The following is a 20,074-nucleotide window of genomic DNA, read 5'->3' as shown; positions in this document are numbered from 1 at the left end:
ATATATTTTATTTTCAACCTAGTGGCAATAATTTAATTTCCTTCAAAATATAGCTACAGAAGATTTATTGGTAACCAATTGGTTTGTTACCTCATTTTTTAAAAGTGGCATGTTACAGTTTTAAGTCTGACAAAACACATGATATTTTAATTGCAGAACACCACATTTTGTGAGTATGCCCTCTCCCTCAATAATTTTCTTAAAGGGTTGTGCATGAAGCTCTGAAGAGTTACATGTCATCTTGTGGTTTTAGTTTGAATATCTCTTCGGTAAATTTGTTACTAAAGGTCTTGAAAACTAAGAGCTAGTTATACTGGGTTTACATTCCTCTGATTAGTTAAGGGTCTAGTTTTCTTGACTTAGAGCTTCTTTACCCTTCAAGAATTAGCCAAAAACAACATAGCCAAATATAGGAAACATCATTCATTGGCAGATAGAAATGTATACTGTTATGTTCATTACTTTGAAAAATATAGGCTACAATTATATCTGGATAAATTATGGAGACTCTGTTGCTACTTTGAGAAATAGTAGTGATGGCAGCGGTGGACCGTCTAGAACAGCTGCTGCCATCATGCCAGCTGCAGCAAGGAGGTGTGGCCGGGGCTGCATGCTCTGTGGAGCTGGCGGGAGCTGGGGAACAAATGGGGCCACATCCCTTCCAAGTTAGTGGGTGGGAGCTTCCCAGGAGCAGCTGCAGCTACCCAAACTGTGGGTGCAGACCCGGGCCTCCTGCTCCATGGAGCAGGCAGGAGCACACTCCTTGCCATTGGCCCCCCAGCCCCTTCTCTCCCATGCCAGTGCAACTGCCCAACCAGGCATCCCCACACTCCTTAGGGGCCCAAGAAGGCCCACTCTGCCCTCTCAGGCTCGGAAATGCCTGCTCCCACTGTCTGGCTTTTCCCTATTGTCGGCACCCAGTCTGACCTTGGAGCAGAGTCAGGGCCAAGCCCAAGTGTTGTCACATCCCAGCCAGGTGTGCACATGCTCAGGGTAGTGCTGACACGCCAGCCCCCTGCCACCTTGGCCCCCTCCAGATTTTGGGCACCAATGAACATAGGAGGGAAGCTGAGGGGAGGCTGAGGGCAGCTTGGCGCTGACCTGTAGGCGGTACCTACAGCTTGGGTGCCATGATCAGCAACAGGAGGCAGACAGGTTTCTGGGTGGAAGTAGGTTGGGTCCTCAATGAGCCTCCATCTTCAGGCCAGGGAGGGTCTGAAGGCTAGGGACCAGGCTGCCAGTTCCATGGACTAGAGTGGGAACTTGTGCCTTTTCCGGGCCTGCCCATGGCTGCCTGTGGACCAGTTGGCACACACTTCCTTCTCCCTGAGGCCCATAAAAGCCCCAGGCTCAGCCTGAGCTGAGCAGACATCAGGATGACCAGCTGCAAAGAAGAGCTACCCATTCCAGGGCCTCCTCTTGGTTGAGAGCAGCAGACATCAGGACAACAGGCTGCAGACAGGAGCTACCCACTCCAGGGCCTCCTCTCTGTTGAGAGCAGCAGACATCAGCACAACAGGGTGCAGAGAGGAGCTACCCATTCCAGGGCCTCCTCTCTGCTGAGAGCAGCAGATGTCAGGACAGCCAGCTGCAGAGAAGAGCTACCCATTTCAGGGCCTCCTGTCTGCTGAAGAGCTGCAGAGATGACAGGATGACCTGCCTTCAGAGAAGAGCTACCCACTCCAGGTCCTCCTCTTAGCTGTTGTCACTCAGTAAAGCTCCTCTTTGTCTTGCTCACCCTCCGCTTGGCTGCGTACTTCATTCTTGGGACCTGCCAATTGAGGCTAAAAGAACTGTAACACAAACAGGGCTGAAACATGACCTTTGTTCATCGCATTGCAGGCGAAGAGGAGAGAAGAGCTGTAGCCCTTTGGGGAGCCCAGACCTGGGAACTCCCCGAGCCAGGACTGTGACTTCCTCTTTGGGGCCCCGGGGTTCCTGACATCTCCAAGCTTCCGGGTGCCACCATGTCCCCCAGTGCCAGCTGTGGAAGCTGCTTGTGGTACACCTGGTCCAGCCGTAGCCTCAGGGAGAGCTGGTGCCCGTACTGGCACCTGGAGCTGCCTGCCCTGCTGCAGCAGCTGGCAAGTCTGACTGTGCAGGGGCTGGACCCCACACTTGCTCACACACCCATTGCTGCTTCACACAGTCTCCCTTGGCAGTCATGGGATCCAGTCCCATAGTGTGAATCGAGTGCAGCCTGCTAGGCCAAGTGGGCAGACTGAGCCTAGTGGGCCCTGTCAAAACTAAGGCAAAGGCGCCACTGGCCACAGATGTTTCTGGCCAGAAAAACAACACCCCAAGGATCCTGTAACAGTAGGAATTATTTTAGGGCAGTGATTCTGAAAGTGGACTGTGTGAAGCCCCCAAAAGATGGTTTTGAAATTTGTTGGGTTATGATTTTGTTCTTGTTGGCACAGTGATTGAGGGAAGTGCTACTGTTAGGTAATGGATAATCAAACATCCTGAAGTACACTGGACAGTTTTGTATAACAAAAAAAGTCTTATATAAACATGATTTTTGAATTTTCTACAGATATCTATGTATTTGAAAAGCTTGTTTTTTGTTTTTGTTTTTGGTTTCGTTTTTTCTTTGATACAGAGTCTCTGTCACCCAGGTTGGAGTGCAGTGGCACGATCTTGGCTCACTGCAACTTCTGCCTCCCAGGTTCAATCGATTCTCCTGCCTCAGCCCCCCAAGTAGCTAGGATTGCAGGCATGTGCCACCATGCCCGGATACTTTTTTTTTGTCTCAAAAAAAAAAGGGGAATACTGAATATGACAAAATTGAAAATCATTCTTCTGGAGAATATTTAGCTTAATACTATATATCTCCTTAGAGTGTTTACAAAGTTTGACAGCCAGTCTAACTCAGTTATTAGTAAATTGCTAATGACAATATCAAGGTAGATATATTTAACCTTGCAGTATTCCCTCTGATGATTTACTCCTAGTTGGGAAAAACATTTCTAGGTCTTTAAACACAATAATTCTGCTTTACAGGCATCTTCAGTATGTTGCTGAATCATTAGAATATTTCTGAATCAATTGATACTTTGAATGTGAGGGTTTTGTCCTTGAAATTGTAGATAGGGGAATTGATTTTGGAGATTGGTGTGATGTTTCTTTGTAAGTGAGGAAGGATTTTTCTATTTTTAAGCATGGGCAACTGTTAAAGGATAAAATTTTTCTTTGTAAGTGAGGAAGGATTTTTCTATTTTTAAGCATGGGCAACTGTTAAAGTAAAGGATAAAATTTTTCTTTATGATGCACCTAAAGATGGCACAAGAAAGATACTTAGCCTTTGCAGTGTATTTTGCCATTAAAAAAATTTTAAGACATTTAAAATGTGAAATATAGCACAGATATAGAAAAGTACATAAAACATAAAAACTTAGTGAATTATTCTGAAATGAGTTTTTTATTTTCTTTATACTAGAAACAATTTTCAGTCTGTTGGAGCTTGAGAAATAAATAATGGTTATCCCTTTGACATCAAGGGAGTTCTTCAGCCTATTTAAATTTAGGAGAGGATGCCTTATCCTGAAAATAGCAGTTTTATAGTCAAACATTAGTTAAAAAAATACATCATTTTCAGAAACACCTATAACATTACTGGGATTGCAACACAGTGAGGGTGCCATCTTTAAGTTATAGGTGAGATCCATTTTATGCTCTTCTTCACATGACAGGAGTTTATGTATTTGAGACATGGCAGCATTAGGCAAAGCCTGATCTATGCAAAAGAATTTTATATGTTTGTTAATATTTTTTACTTTATTCTTTTAAGGAAAGATACATGGGCTACCTGAAATGTAGGTTGAGATTTTGTAAAACCACATGCAAATAGACTTGAATGTCTGAGTTAAGTAATTTCAACTTTTTTTCTTTCGCCCCACTTCGTCTCACTCTTCCTTCCGTCTCACTCTGTTGCCCAGGCTGGAGTGCAGTGGCATGATCACAGCTCATAGCAGCCTCAACCTCCTGGGCTCAGGTGATTCTCCCATCTTAGCCTTCCAGGTAGATGGGACTACAGGTGTGTGCCATGTAGTCCCATGCACAGCTAATTTTTTTTTTTTTTTTTTGAAGAGAGGGGGTTTTGCCATGTTGTCCAGGATGGTCTTGAACTCATGTGCTCAAGTGATCCCCCCACCTCAGCCTCCCAAAGTGCTGGGATTATAGGCATGAGCCACTATACCTGGCTAGTTTTCTTAATTTAAAGAGTTGTAGGATATGTAGATATATATGGCATTTTATCTATGTATTGGTAAAATATTTTGATTTCATATAAAGGTATCACTTGCGGAGGCTGTTTGTGATATTTCTTAGAGTAAGTGCTGAAAGACTATATTGAAGATTGCAAGGTTCAAGTTTTCCTGTCAAGCATGATTTAAATCAAATTTTTAATATCCAATATAATTGTCCTACTAGCAGATTCTTTTTTTTTGGAAATGGAGTCTTGCTCTGTCATCCAGGCCGGAGTGCAGTGGCATCATCTTGGCTTACTGCAACTTCCGTCTCTCAGTTTCAAGCAATTCTCCTGCCTCAGGCTCCTGAGTAGCTGGGATTACAGGCAGCCATCACGCCCAGCTAATTTTTGTATTTTTAGTAGAGACAGGGTTTCGCCATGTTGGCCAGGCTGGTCTCGAACTCCTGACCTCAAGTGATTCACCTCCCAAAGTGCTAGTGGGATTATAGGCGGGAGCCACTGTGCCCGGCCTCCTTCTTACAAATTCTGTGGGATTTGTTACTCATTTCTTCATTTAACCATAAGTGATTATTTATTGAGAGGCTAATATGTGCCAGGAGCTAAAGAGCTAGAAATAATATGAGACTAGGGAGAGATGAGTACACAGTGAGCTTTAATACAGTGTGCTCCAGTGTTGTCACAGGTATGTCCTGGGTGCTTGAGACACACCGAGGAGTATCAGGGAAGGTTTCCAGGAATCTAGAATAATAAAATTTGGTCAGGCAATATGGAGCTGAAGACATCTTAGGAAGAGGGAATAATCTGTTTAAAGTAGGAGGCAGGAGAGAATGTGAGATATGCTGGCAAGTACCTGTGATTCAGCATGACTGGACTAAGGATCCTGTGTGTTGAATGACACATTTAGAGAGGAAGGAAAGTAGGGGCCCAATCATGAATTCATTCTCATAATTCAATTTTTAAATTAGTCTTGCTTTGTTGCCTGTGCTGGTCTCGAACTCCTGACCTCAAGTAGTTCTTCCACCTTGGCCTCCCAAAGTGCTAGGATTATAGGTGTGAGCTGCCATGCCCTGTCTCATAATTCATTTTATTTTTTATTTTACTTTTTGAGACATAGTCTCACTCTTGCCCAGGCTGGAGAGCAGTGGTGCAATTAACAGCACACTGCAGCCTCAGCCTCCTGGGCTCAAGTGATCCTCCTGCCTTAGCCTCCCTAGTAGCTAGGACCACAGGTGCATGCCACAACTCTTGGCTAATTTTTTTTTTTTTTCTTGATAGATGAGGTCTCACTATGTAGCCCAGGCTGGTCTTGGGCTCCTGGGCTCAAGCAGTCCTCCTGCCTTGGCCTCCCAAAGTGCTGGGATTATAGACATGAGCCACCACTCTTAGCCTTGTAATTCATTTTAGATATAATCATTTCATCAAGAATTTTTTTTTTTTTTTTTTGGAGATGGAGTCTTGCCCTGTCGCCCAGGCTGGAGTGCAGTGGTGCGATCTCGGCTCACTGCAACCTCCGCCTCCCGAGTTCAAGCGATTCTCCTGCCCCAGCCTCCCAAGTAGCTGGGATTACAGGGGCGTGCCTCCATGCCCAGCTAATGTTTGCATTTTTAACAGAGACGGGTTTTCACCATGTTGGTCAGGCTGGTCTTGAACTTCTGACCCCATGATCTGCCCGCCTTGGCCTCCCAAAGTGCTGGGATTGCAGGCATGAGCCAGCGCGCCTGGCCTTCATCAAGAAATTTTTGTATCTACCTTAATGCATTTTCTCTAATGGCTTAGAAATTTAGAATTTTATATCTTGGCAGTTGATGCTATAGGATGGGAGTGCTGGTGAGATGCAGTCAGTCTCTTTGAAAAGATTGCTGCTCTGGGCATTATGTCTCAGATGCCTTACCATTTCCAGCTGTCTGGTAAGGGTGAGATCCCAGAGTTTTATTTTTCTAGTTTCATGCTCTTTTATTAGTATTGTATTAATTGGGTGATTTGGTTTCAGTTCTGAGATTCTTGACAAAAATCTGTGTTGAAGAAACTAGGGACGTGTACAGGTTTATTATGTTTCTAATTCTGTGACAGAGGGCTGATGTTTCATAAACCCACCTCAATTTTAAATGCTAACTTCTGGGCCGGGCACGGTGGCTCATGCCTGTAATCCCAGCACTTTGGGAGGCCGAGGCGGGTGGATCATGAGGTCAGGAGTTTGAGACTAGCCTGACCAACATGGTGAAACCCCATCTCTACTAAAAATACAAAAATTAGCCGGGCATGATGGTGTGTGCCTGTAATCCCAGCTACTCAGGAGGCTGAAGCAGGAGAATTGCTTGAACCTGGGAGGCAGAAGTTGCAGTGAGCTGAGATCATGCCACTACACTCCAGCCTGGGTGACAGAATGAGACTCCATCTCTAAACAAATACATACATACATACATACATACATACTAACTTTCATTTTTCCTCCAGCTTTTGTTGGCAGCTCTTGGTTAGACATAGTACTTGAGTTACTTGTTCAGTAGCTGGCTTCCACCTCTGTCTTTGCATGGTGGTATTTGAATATAAGCAAAGTATATATATATATTTTTTTATTGTTGTTTTGTTTTTTTTGAGGCAGACTCTCACTCTGTTGCCCAGGCTGGAGTGCAGTGGTGTAATCTTGGCCCACTGCAACCTCCACCCTCTGGGGTCAAGCAATTCTCCTGACTCAGCCTCCCTGGTAGCTGGGATTACAGGTGCCTGCCGCCATGCCTGGCTAATTTTTTTGTATTTTTAGTAGAGACAAGGTTTCACCATGTTGCCCAGGCTGGTCTCAAACTCCTGGGCTCAAGCACTCCACTTGCTTCGGCTTCCCAAAGTGCTGAGATTATAGGCTGAGCCACCCTACCTGGCCCTGCAAAGTATGGTCTTTATAAGTTAATACAGCATGTTTTCATTCAGCAAATACTTATTGAATGCTTATTACTTGCAAGATTGAGAAGCTCCTACACCAGATCTTCAAAGGCTGCTCTGAAGTGATTTGCTTAATTTTAGGACTAGTGCCTTAATAACATGTGTAGTGACTGTGTAGTTTTGTTCGTGTTTATGGAAGTTTATTGGTTAAGAGTTCCTGAGTATAGAGACCTTTCCATATACTGTGGTGAGAAACAGTACTTTAAAAAGCATGTTGACAATACCTGAATTCTGTGATCAATCTTAGCATGGCTAAAAGTAAGACCACTAGACATTATATCTCCTCAAGGAGCTTATAATGAATCCATATTTAAATTTCCCAGATTATTTCAAAGATAGGTTTTGTTTGTTTGTTTTTTGTTTTTTTTGAGATGGATTTTTGCTTTTGTTGCCCAGGCTGGAGTGCAATGGCACAATCTCTGCTCACTGCAACCTCCACCTCTTGGGTTCAGGCGATTCTCCTGCCTCAGCCTCCTGAGTAGCTGGGATTACAGGCTTGAACCACCATGCCTGGCTAATTTTTTTGTATTTTTAGTAGAGACAGGGTTTCGCCATGTCAGTCAGGCTTGTCTCAAACTCCTGACCTCAGGTGATCCACCCACCTCGGCCTCCCAAAGTACTGGGATTACAGGCATAAGCCACCGTGCCTGGCCCAAAGATAGTTGGTTTTTTTTTTTTGAGACAGAGTCCCACTCTGTTGCCCAGGCTGGAGTGCAGTGGCGTGATCTCAGCTAACTGCAACCTCCACCTTCCTGGTTCAAGTGATTCTTCTGCCTCAGCCTCCCGAGTAGCTGGGACTACAGACACACGCCACCACCCCCGACTAATTTTTGTATTTTTATTTTTTTGAGACGAAGTCTCGCTGTGTTGCCCAGGCTGGAGTGCAATGGTGCTGTCTAGGCTCACTGCAACCTCTGCCTCCCAGGTTCAAGCAATTCTCGTGCCTCAGCCTTCTGAGTAGCTGGGATTACAGGCACCCGCCACCATGCCTGGCTAATTTTTGTATTTTTAGTAGACATGGGGTTTCACCATATTGGCCAGGCTGGCCTCGAACTCCTGACCTTGTGATCCACCTGCCTTGGCCTCCCAAAGTGCTGAGATTACAGGCATGGGCCACAGTGCCTGGCTAAGATAGTTTTTTATAGTTGATTTGTTCCAGCTAACATTGGATTTGGCTGTGTCTCCTAAGTGTTTTTTAAATTCTTTAACAGTCCTTCCACCATCTTCTTCCTCCTCTTCTTGATATTGATTAGCTGGAGAAACCATATAATTTGTTTTATTGAAGATGCCACATTCTCTACTTGGCTGATTGCTTCCTTGAAGTATTTAACTTTTTTCTCTGTTTCCTGTAAACTAGCACATAGATCAGATCTAAAGCCTTGATTAGATTCAAGTTCAGTTTTGTTTTGTGTGAATGGTAAGTACTGACTATTGCATTTCATGAGGAGACACATAATGTCTGATAGTCCCACTTTTAGTAATGCTAAGATCAGGGGATTCCTGTAGTGTCAACAAGACAGACACGGACGATTGTAAAGTTTCTTCTCCTTTCACCTTATTATTATTTATGTCTTTAGCATCTATTAATGATCATTGCCTAGATCTGTTAGTTCATTAGCACTTGCAGAATTGTGATTTTCTAATTTATTATTCTTTTTCCATTTATTAGCAAAAGAAGTTCTAAAAATTGTTTTTTAATTTTTATTTTTTTAAGACAGGGTCTCACTTTGTTGTCCAGGCTGGAGTGCAGTGGTACTATTTTAGCTCAATGCAGCCTTAGATTCTTGGACTCAAGCAATCCTCATGCCTCAGTCTCCCAAGTAGCTGGGACTACAGGTATGCACCACTACGCCTGGCCAATTTTTTGTATGTTTTGTAGAGACAGGGTCTTGTTTGTTGCCCAGGCTGGTCTCAAACTCCTGGACTCAAGCAATCCACCCATCTAAGCCTCCCCAAGTAATGGTATTACAGGCATGGGCCACTGTGCCCGGCCTCCTGTCTCTTTTGATATGACACTTTCATTAATGGCATAATTGTTAAATGAACCTTGGTTCATTTAACTTTAGCGCTCATGTTCTTCCAATTATTATTGTTGTATCTTCTTGAAGGAAGCCCTTAAGGAATAGGTAAGACTTAAATGGCACTATTAAAGGGTGCATTTGTTGGGATAGTGCGTTTGTTTTGATATGAGGAGTTTATTCCTCATGTGAACATAGGTCTAGCAGCAGGAAGGCAGAAGGCACTGTGATACCAGTCTCGGGCTGTAGAGTGATGGGAGAGCAAGAAAAATAGGCCAGAGAAATAGCACAAGGGGCCTTGCCATCTGTATTGAGCGATTTGGTGTTTTTAATGCTTAGGGGATGGGCCGTGAGGTTGATAGAAAATTGTCCTTGTTGGCTGGGCACGGTGGGTCACGCCTGTAATCCCAGCACTTTGGGAGGCCAAGGCGGGCGGATCACGAGGTCAGGAGATCGAGACCATCCTGGCTAACACGGTTGAAACCCCGTCTCTACTAAAAATACAAAAAATTTAGCCAGGCATGGTGGCAGGCGCCTGTAGTCTCAGCTACTCGGGAGGCTGAGGCAGGAGAATGGCGTAAAACTGGGAGGCGGAGCTTGCAGTGAGCTGAGATGTCACTACTGCATTCCAGCCTAGGCAACAGAGAGAGACTCCATCTCAAAAAAAAAAAAAATTGTCCTTGTAGAGAAAGGGCCCTCTTGATTGCAAATTGTTCTTGTTGAGAGAGGGCCCTCTTGATTGTCATTTTCATTGGAATTTGCAGAGAAAAACTCAGCCTAAGAAGCTAATATTTTCTAAATAAAGTTTGGAGAAAAATCACCTGTCAAGTGCTGGTTAACTAAATTTCTTAGGACCCTGTAATCCTTAAGCATGCAGTTTATTCAGATGTCAAATATCTATGTTGAATTTGAATCAATGTGGTGTGTGTGTGTGTACATATGTATGTGTATATATTTTTATTTATATGTATATAAGAATAATTTTTTTCCTTTAGTTGGTGGTATGGATTGGATAATGTACATATATATAATTTGTGAAGTGATAAAAGTGTATTTAAATAATTTATTTCTGCTGACTTACTCTTGGTTTTTAAAATATCACATTATTTAATTGGCCTCCTGTTACATTATTGGCTATATTGAAATCTAAGGACTAATTGTAGATTAGTGGTCTTTATCATATCTTGGTATAAAATTTGGCTGATGGTTGTTTTGCTATGTTTTAATTACTGATTTCTAGGGCCCCGTGGTTATGAATGTGCTTCAGTTTCATAATGCCTCCTGCTATGGCAGACATCCTTGACATCTGGGCGGTGGATTCACAGATAGCATCTGATGGCTCCATACCTGTGGATTTCCTTTTGCCCACTGGGATTTATATCCAGTTGGAGGTACCTCGGGAAGCTACCATTTCTTATATTAAGCAGGTATGTTAATAGGTATAATTTCTATGTGTTTAGCATACTGTGTCACTTGGGGGAAATATCATTCTATAATAGAAAATGTTAATGTAAATTATATGTGATAATGATAGTAATGAAGTGATGGTAATTAAGAAAAATTAGTTTATGTTAGCTAGTTTGAAATGTTTGTTTGGGTTATTAAAACTGTCAAGAAGATTTTCTTTTGAGTTCGTCTTTGAAATTACTGTCTTTGAGCTTGTCACACTTTTAAAAATGTGATTTTTGGTTCATTTTCTCTTCTCTCCTTTTTCTTCTCTTCCCCCTTTCCTTGACTCTTGGGGGAAGAAAGACTTTTCTGCTGTTCACCAGATATTTTTCCCTCAGCAGGCTTGCCTTTTCTGTTGCATTAGTTTTTAAAGTAAATTGATGAGCACCGTTGATTTGTAAAAACCAGCATATACATGAACTTGTTTTTCTAAACTTTCTTTCTAATGTTTTTCAAAAAGCTGAACCCAATGTGAATATCAGGAGTTACGGTATTTTTAAGAAAACATATTTATGATATACCTCTGAAAACTCTTGGCTTTGGACAAGCCTCTTAACTCCTTTCCAAGCTTCTTCATTAGAGAAACTGGAATTCTAAAATGGCATGATCCTTAAAGTAAAAAGAAAATACAGAATTGACTTAAGCATCTCATACGCTCATGCATGGTGCACCTATTTTTATAGTCACCAGTGACAAGTATGGATTCCTATGGCTATACTTCACATTAGATTAACCATTTATCTCTTTTTAATTGTGAAATATACATAACCTGGAATTTACTATTTAGACATTTTTAGGTGTGCATTCACAGTGCTGTGCAACCATCACCAGTATCCATTTCCAGCACTTAACCATCATCCCAAACAGAAACTTCATACCCATAACTGCCCCTTTCCCTCAATTCCTTTTTATTTCTATTCTGTTTTCCATCTCTACCAGTTTGCCTATTCTTGGTACTTTATATAAGTGGAAACATACAATAAATAGCTATCCTTTTGTAGTTGGCTTGCATAGCATAGTGTTTTTAAAGTTCATCCATGTTGTAGCATATATCCTAGTTTCATTCCCTTTTATGGCTGAATAATATTCCATTGTATGTATATGCCACATTTTGTATATTTATCTGTTGATGAACATTTGGGTTGCTTCCAGCTTTTGGCTATTGTGAATATTATGCTACTCTGAGCATTGGTGTATAAATGTCTGTTTGAATTCCTGCTTTCAGTTCTTTTGGGTATATACCTAGAAGTGTGATTGTTGGTTCACAGTGGTAATTCCATGTTTTAACTTTTGAGGAACTGCCACACTGTTTTCCACAGTGGCTGCACCATATAATGTTGGGACCAGCAGTGTACAAGGGTTCCAGTTTGTCTACATACTGGCCAACACATGCTATTTTCTCCTCGCTCCCTCCCTCCCTCTCTTCCTCCCTCCCTCTCTTCCTCCCTCCCTCTCTTCCTCCCTCCCTCCCTCTTTTCCTACCTCCCCTCCTTCCTCTCCCTCTCCTCCCTTCCCCTCCCCTCTCTCCCTCCCTCCCTTCTTCCTTCCTTTCTTCCTTCCTCTTTTCTTACATTATTTCTTTCCTTTTTTTGTTTGTCTAAGAGATACGATCTTGTTTGCCATATTTTCTGTGTGTGTGTGTGTGTGTGTGTGTGTGTGTGTGTGTGTGTGTTTAATAGTATCCATCCTAATGGATGTGAAGTGGTATCTCATTGTGGGTTTTTTTTTGTTTTTTGTTTTGTTTTTTTGAGACGGAGTCTCGCTCTGTCGCCAGACTGGAGGGCAGTGTCATGACCTTGGCTTACTGCAACCTCCGCCTCCTGGGTTCAAGTGATTCTCCTGCTTCAGCATCCTGAGTAGCTGGGACTATAGGTGCACACCACCATGCCCAGCTAATTTTTGTATTTTTAGTAGAGATGGGATTTCACCATGTTGGCCAGGATGGTCTTGATTTCTTGACCTCATGATCTGCCCACCATGGCCTCCCAAAGTGCTGGGATTACAGGTGTGAGCCACTGCACCCAGCCTCATTGTGGTTTTTATGTGCATTTCCCTCATGACTAATGATGTTGAGCATCTTTTTATGTGCTTGTTGGTCATTTGTATGTTTTTTGGAGAATTATCTTTTCTAGACCTGTACTGATTTTTAAACTTTGTTTTCTGTTATTGAGTTGTAGGAGTTCTTTATATATTCTGGATATTAATATCTTGTCAGATATATATGATTTGCAAATATTACCTCCCATTTTGTTGGTTGCCTTTTCATTCTCTTGATAATGTCTTTTGCTGTACAGAAGTTTTAAGTTTTGGTGAAGTTCAGTTTACCTTTTTTTCTTAATGTTACTATTTTGAGCCTTTAGAATGAAAAGTTTACCTATCATTATTATTATTGTTGTTGCTTGTACTTTCTCCTGTATGTTTTATGTAACTGAATCTGAGCTGAGGATTGGCCACAATTTTTAACTCAGGTCTGTTATTTTCAGCTCTTAGCTTTTGTACTGGCTGTTAACAAAATATGCAATCCCTTTTTGTTTTTGTGTGGTGAACTTCTTTTATATTATCTCATCCAGGAGACATGGAAAGAGATGTTGAGAGATTGATTATGATCATTCTGACAGGACAGTGTTAGTAAGGATACCCCTGATAAAAGAAAAGAGTGCAGGACAAAAATAATTTAAATATTGTATGGAGGTGGTGATACATACTTTAAATTAAAATTTTTTTTTGATTACTCCTGATCAGTAGTTTCTGCTTACAGGAAAGTGAAATATGAAAGTTTTCATTGAGTCTTACTTGTCATAGATAATTTGCTTTTAGTAATTTCATTTATAATGCATTTTTTGTGCACTATGCCATTATATTACCCTACAAACATGGGATAATACCATATATACTCTCCTATAATTTGCTGTTGTAAGAAAACTTGAATATTTTGTATGGTTTTCCATTTCAGAATGAATTTATATTTTTTTCTATTTTTCTGAATATATTTCTATTATTTTCACCATTCTGTAATATTCTATAATTCATTTAACCAATCTTTTATTGCTAAACATTTGATTTGTTCATAGTTTTTTATTTTTACAAACAGTGCTGCAGTGAGCATCCTTATATCTTTGTACACTTGAGCAAGTGTTTCCATTCCAGAAAATGTCTTATTTTTTCTCATAGATGTTATGGAAGCAAGTTCACAATTACCCAATGTTCAACCTCCTTATGGATATTGACTCCTATATGTTTGCATGTGTGAATCAGACTGCTGTATATGAGGAGCTTGAAGATGAAACACGAAGACTCTGTGATGTCAGACCTTTTCTTCCAGTTCTCAAATTAGTGACAAGAAGTTGTGACCCAGGGGAAAAATTAGACTCAAAAATTGGAGTCCTTATAGGAAAAGGTAAATTAAAAAATAAAAAAAAAGTACAAATTCTTAATATATCTATTTATATAAACATATAGTAAGTATATTTAAGACATTGCTTTTCAAAGTGTGGTCCATGGACCACTGCTGATCTGTAAATTGTTGCCAGTTTGAGATAAGGTAAGTATAGAAATTGAGAATAAATGTTTAGAAACCCCTTTAGCAATATGATATTGCCATAGCATCCAAGGGCTTATGTTTAGTATATGTTTTTGTTGTCTAATGATTTATTATTTATTTAATTTTTAAAAATAGAGACAGGGTCTCACTGTGTTGTCCAGGCTGGTCTCAAACTCCTGGGCTCAAGTGATCCTCCTACCTTGGCCCCCCAAAGTGCTGGGATTACAGGTATGAGCCACTGTGCATGGCTGATTTATTTTTATTTTACAAAAATATTGATCTTTGATGGATTGGAAAGAAAAAAGTTGTTGCTTTACCTCAGATTGTTTGAGAAGTCCTTGACTAAAGGAGACATTATCCTTAGTTTCTTATGAACTGCTCCTATAGAATGAACATATTTTATACACAACTCTCTATGCCAACCAAGACTTTAAGCTGTTTGATGTTTCCATAAATAAATTATTGACAAATTTTACTTCTTAACTGAAATTATCTTTAAGTAGAAGTTATTTTGGTAGAGAGTCAGGAAATATCATGTCCACATTATTCCTTGCAAATTTATTCCATGGAAAATTGTGAGTAACACAATCAAGAACATGGAGGAGTCTCTCTTGCTATATAACATTAGGAGTCTCAGGGGCTAATGTTTTATCAATATCTTGCTTTAGAGAGGGTACTGACTTGAATTAGGAACTACAAAAGGTTACTGAGGAGGGGACTTTATAGTTTAAATACAAAACCAGAAAATCCACTGGAGATTTATGTATCTAGATTGGGTACCTGTATTGATCAGATTCACTGTTATAGGATAATATAGTACCATCCCCTTTAAAATACTATTCTTTGATCTTAACCCTATAATAATTCAGGCTAGCTAATGATTATACTGTGGGACTACTCCCTCTGAGTGCATAGAACCTTGTTAGTTTACTAAGGGATACTCTGATATTTAAAAATATTTGATTACTTCAGAGGGTGGCTAGTTTATTTTTGGCAATAAATTTTTCCCAGTTAACAAGTTTATAGTTATGTATCATACAAAATTTTTTCTTATATATTAGTGACATATAATTAGAAAGCATTATTAGAAAGCATGCCTTTCTATTTTCTAGAGCTACAAAGGTGTGTTTTGTTTTGTTTGTTTTTTGTTTCTGTTTTTGTTTTTTTGGTGACAAGGTCTCGCCCTGTTGCCCAGGCTAGAGTGCAGTGGTACGATCATGGCTCACTTCAGCCTTGACTCGACCCTCAGTCGCAAGCGATCCTCCCACCTCAGCGTCCTAAGTAGCTGGGACTACATACAGATGCAAGCCACCATGCCTGGCTAATTTTTGTATTTTTATTATAGTAGAGACAGGGTGTTGCCCAGGCTGGTCTCAAACTCCTGGACTCGAGCTGTCTGCCTGCCTCAGCCTTCAGAGCCACAGCACCTGGCCCAAATATTTTTATAGAATTTAAATTTTTGTCCATTATAAAAGGTTTTCCCTTTGTTCTCATGCCCATAAAAAGTTGAAGAATATATGGAAGAGGAGAAAGAAAGAAAAAAAATCACTTATAGTCTTATCATCCAGGACAAGTATATTGACCGACAATATTTTGATATATTTCTTTTGAATAAATTATATGTATTTCAAGGCTTTTATTTGTTTTTGTTTCTGTGGATTAAAATACTTAGCTTTTCTGTATTCTCATGCTAATGTAAGAAAGCAAACCAGAACCACATTGATTTTTAGGGAAGCTAAAATATTTGTTAATCCAAAAAGTACCACAGAGTAGGCCATGTTCTTTTTGATTTTTTTTTCTTTTTTAAATAGGGTCTCTTTCTGTCACCTAGGCTGGAGTGCAGTGGTGCGATCTCAGCTCACTGCAGCCTCAACCTCCCAGGCTTAAGTGATCCTCCTACCTCAGCCTCCCGAGTAGTTGAGACCACAGGCATATGCCACCATGCCCATGTAGATTTTAGCATGTTGCCCAGGCTGGTATCAAACTCCTAAGCTCAAGTGATCCACCTGCCTTTGCCTCCCAAAGTGCTAGGATTATAGGTGTGAGCCATTGTGCTGGCCTTTTTATTTTTATTTGTATTTATTTATTTGATACAGAGTCTCACTCTGTTGCCCAGACTGGAGTGCAGTGGTGCAATCTTGACTCACTGCAACCTCTGCCTCCCAGGTTCAAGAGATTCTCCTGCCTCAGCCTTCTGAGTAGCTGGGATTACAGGCACCTGCCACCATGCCCAGCTAGTTTTTGTATTTTTATTAGAGACAGGGTTTCACCATGTTGGACAGGCTGGTCTCAAACTCCTGACCTCAGATGATCCGCCTGCCTCGGCCTCCCAAAGTGCTGGGATTACAGGTGTGAACCACTGCGCCCAGCTGTTTTTGTTTTTATTTTTAAATTGAGACAGGGTCTTGCCCTGTACCCAGGCTGGAATGCAGTGGTGCAACCACCAGTCACTGCAGCCTCAGCCTCCCAGGGTCAAGTGATCCTCCCACCTCAGCTTCCTGAGTAGCTGAGTGCAAGCCACCAAGTCTGGCTAATTTTTTCTTTTTTTTTGTAGAGATGGAATCTTACTGTGTTACCCAGGATGTGGGCCAAGTTTCTTCAAGGCATTGGTATCTCTCTGAAATTTACCTCCTTCCCAACATTTACCAAAACATGGATTCATTGGCCACCATTACCTCTTCCTATGCCTGCCAAATGTGGCAAATAAAAATATTGAAGATTGAAATATTACATATGCTGTGCTTATGCTAAAAACATATTCATTGTTTATCTAAAATTCACATTGAATTGCGCATACTGTTTTTTTTTAACCTGGCAACCTTACCTTTTATCCTACCATAGCATAGGGGTATAATCTATATTAGACTAATGAATTTAATTTTTTCTTTTTTTTTTTCTGTTGAGACGAGGTCTCACTCTATCACCCACTCTGGAGCATAGTGGCGCCTTTTTGGCTCACTGCAACCTCCGCCTCCCAGGTTCAAGCAATTCTCCCACCTTGGCTTCCCAAGTAGCTGGGACTACAGGCATGCACCACCACGCCCACCTAATTTTTGTATTCTTTGGCATTTTGATTATATACACAAATTTAAATGTTAACATTTATTTAAGAAATTGAGTAAGTTGTGTATTTAAGAATGAATTTTCACTTTTAATACTTGAGAAGTCAAGTCAATTTTTGCAGTTGCTGATTTGTCTGTGATGACCATGGCTTGATGAGGCCATGCCTCCTGGGAAAAAATATACAATTATTTCAGTTTAACTTTAGGAACAAGGTTGCCACCTCCTCTCTCCAAAGAAAACAATAGAACCTTTAGAGACGTAATTGCCCTGACTAGGCTAAAAATACCTTTTCCTGAAAGATGATGTGGCTAATCTTTTTTTTTTCTGTGTTTATTCCAAATAATTATTTACAGAGCTGTTGTTTGAGTTCTGTTTGTTCTCTGTAGTAAGGTGTATGCCACCCCATATTAATTTCTCCAAACACTCAGTAAAAGAATCGTAATCAGAGGATTTTGTTAGCATTCTGAAAAACATATTTGTAAACTCCCTTATTTCTCCTGACCTATCTAAACCTGTGGTATACCTTAAGTGAGGGAAATAGCTAGTCTGTAGGATTTTTTTTTTTTTTTTTTTTTATATACAGAGTCTCACTTTGTTGCCCAGGCTGGAGTGCAGTGGCGTGATCTTGGCTCACTGCAACCTCTGCCTCCTGGGTTCAAGTGATTCTCATGCCTGAGCCTCCTAAGTAGCTGGGATTACAGGATTGCATGACTACACCCAGCTAATTTTTATATTTTTTGTAGAGATGGGGTTTTGCCACATTGGCTAGGCTGGTCTCGAACTCCTGACCTCAAGCGATCTGCCTACCTTAAGCCTTCCAAAGTGCTGGGATTACAGGTGTGAGCCACCATGTCCGACCTAGTCTGTAGGATTTTAACACCCTCTTTAGTATGAATAAATTGTTCACTCAGTACTTTTTAAATATAAAAATTATATTTGACTATAAATTTTACAGTAGCCTTAAGGAAAATTTAAGCTTTGCTGTTAGATTCTCTTAGAAGAAGGTATGTAGGGTATTAACTAGGTTTAAAATTAAATTACTTAGCTTAAAGTGTTCGTTATTTTTGATAAAATTTCTTTTTTTTTTTTGAGATGGAGTCTCGCTCTATCGCCCAGGCTGGAGTGCAGTGGCGCCATCTCGGCTCACTGCAAGCTTCACCTCCTGGGTTCACGCCATTCTCCTGCCTCAGCCTCCCGAGTAGCTGGGACTACAGGCACCTGCCACCATGCCTGGCTAATTTTTTATATTTCTAGTAGAGATGGGGTTTCACTGTGTTAGCCAGGATGGTCTCAATCTCCTGACCTCGTGATCCGCCCGCCTCGGCCTCCCAAAGTGCTAGGATTACAGGCGTGAGCTACTGCGCCCGGCCTAAAATTTCTGTATTTAAGAGATCTTTATGGTGGTTCCCAAATTTAGATTGTATCAGTTTCTTAAAATGAATATGCTCAGAGATTGGGATTCAGTGTGTCTGGAATAAATGAAAGCTGTATTTTTTTATGTGATTCTAACAGTTACATGAACAGGGTCCCTTATTCATAATATATTGAAAAACATTACCAAAACATTAGTGATTGCAGTTCAGTAGTATTGAGTGTTTATACTTGAAATTTTACCAGTGACCGTGGGTGATATGGTCTCTGCTTAGACCTCACAATCCAGTGGGAAGTGAGGATCAGTAAACACAGTTTTATTGCAATGTATTAACTGCTATGCTATGTCAGAAAGGGTCACCTTCAAATACTGTGTGATCTCACTTAAATGTGGAATCTGAAAAAGTTGAACTCAAAGTAAACAGTTGAATGGTAGTTAGCAGAGCCAGTTGGGGGCATAGAAAGGGGTGTATTGGGCTGGGAAAGGGGAGACATTGGTCACTGGGTACAAAGTTTCAGTTAGCAGGAATAAGTTCTGGTGTTCCATTGCAGGGGTTCTCCTCTGCTCCCTGTTGCTGGTTAGGAACCAGGCCGCACAGCAGGAGGTGAGCAGCAGGTTGGGTGAGCATTACCACCTGAACTTCGCCTCCTGTCAGATCAGTGGTAGCATTAGATTCTCATAGGAGCTTGAATGCGAAGAATCCTATTGTGAACTGCACATGTGAGGGATCTAGGTTGTGTGATCCTAATGAGCGAGAATCTAATGCCTGATGATCTGAGGTGGAACAGTTTCATCCCAAAACCACCCCCACCCCCATTCTATTGCATAGCACCGTGACTATAGTTAATAATAATGTATTGTATGTTTCAAAATATTTATGAGAGAATTTTTAAATGTTCTCTTCACAAAGAAATAATAAATATTTGAGGTGATAGATATGCTAATTAGCCAGATTTGATCATTCCACAATGTATACATGTGTCAAAACATCACATTGGCCGAGCTTGGGGGCTTATTCCTATAATCCCAGTACTTTGGGAGGATAAGGTGGGTGGATCACTTGAGCCCAGGATTTGGAGACCAGTCTGGGCAACATAGCAAAACCCCATCTCTACAAAAAGTACAAAAAATTACTCAGGCATGGTGGTGTGTGCCTGTAGTCCCAGCTACTTGAGAGGCTGAGGTGGGAGGATCACTTGGCTTGAGCCCAGAGGTTGAGGCTCCAGTGAGCTGTGATCATGCCACTGCACTCCAGCCTGGGCGACAGAGTGAGACCCTGTCTCAAACAAACAAAAAAACTCTATCACATTGTACCTCAAAAATACATGCAATTATTATTTGCCAATTAATGAAAAACAAAACTTTTGAAAAGGAAAGTCACCTTAAATCAATTAGGTGAATCAGGGATGACCTCTTAGAAGATGTATACCTACACTGAGCCATCAATGCTGATTAGGAATTTGGCAGGTAAAGAGAGGTGGAGA

General features: G+C 41.0%; 1 protein-coding gene across 13 annotated transcripts in view, besides 1 other annotated feature; it reads left to right on the top strand.

Annotated features, from left to right (window-relative positions):
* PIK3CB (phosphatidylinositol-4,5-bisphosphate 3-kinase catalytic subunit beta) overlaps window positions 1-20,074 on the top strand; it is a 182,231-nt gene that overhangs the window by 65,164 nt on the left and 96,993 nt on the right. For 12 of the 13 annotated variants that reach the window (NM_001437290.1, NM_001437286.1, NM_001437289.1 and 9 more), the window contains 2 exons: window positions 10,406-10,592; window positions 13,786-14,011. In NM_001437290.1, the coding sequence (NP_001424219.1) occupies window positions 10,422-10,592; window positions 13,786-14,011 (397 nt within the window). In that variant the 5' untranslated portion in view covers window positions 10,406-10,421. Of the gene's footprint in view, window positions 1-8,861; window positions 8,984-10,405; window positions 10,593-13,785; window positions 14,012-20,074 lie in introns of all 13 variants that reach the window. The other variant, NM_001437293.1, reaches the window with a different exon arrangement.
* Window positions 1,364-1,658: a silencer, noted in NCBI's record as "tiled region #1798; K562 Repressive DNase unmatched - State 17:Gen3'". NCBI's record gives its function as "represses a minimal TATA promoter and a strong SV40 promoter by Sharpr-MPRA in K562 cells {active_cell/tissue: K562}" and the evidence as "EXISTENCE:reporter gene assay evidence [ECO:0000049][PMID:27701403]".

Source organism: Homo sapiens, chromosome 3, assembly GCF_000001405.40.
Source record: "Homo sapiens chromosome 3, GRCh38.p14 Primary Assembly".
In the NCBI taxonomy this organism is placed as follows: domain Eukaryota; kingdom Metazoa; phylum Chordata; class Mammalia; order Primates; family Hominidae; genus Homo; species Homo sapiens.
The sequence above is the reverse complement of the archived record's forward strand: the minus strand, read 5'-3'. Positions and strand labels throughout refer to the sequence as shown.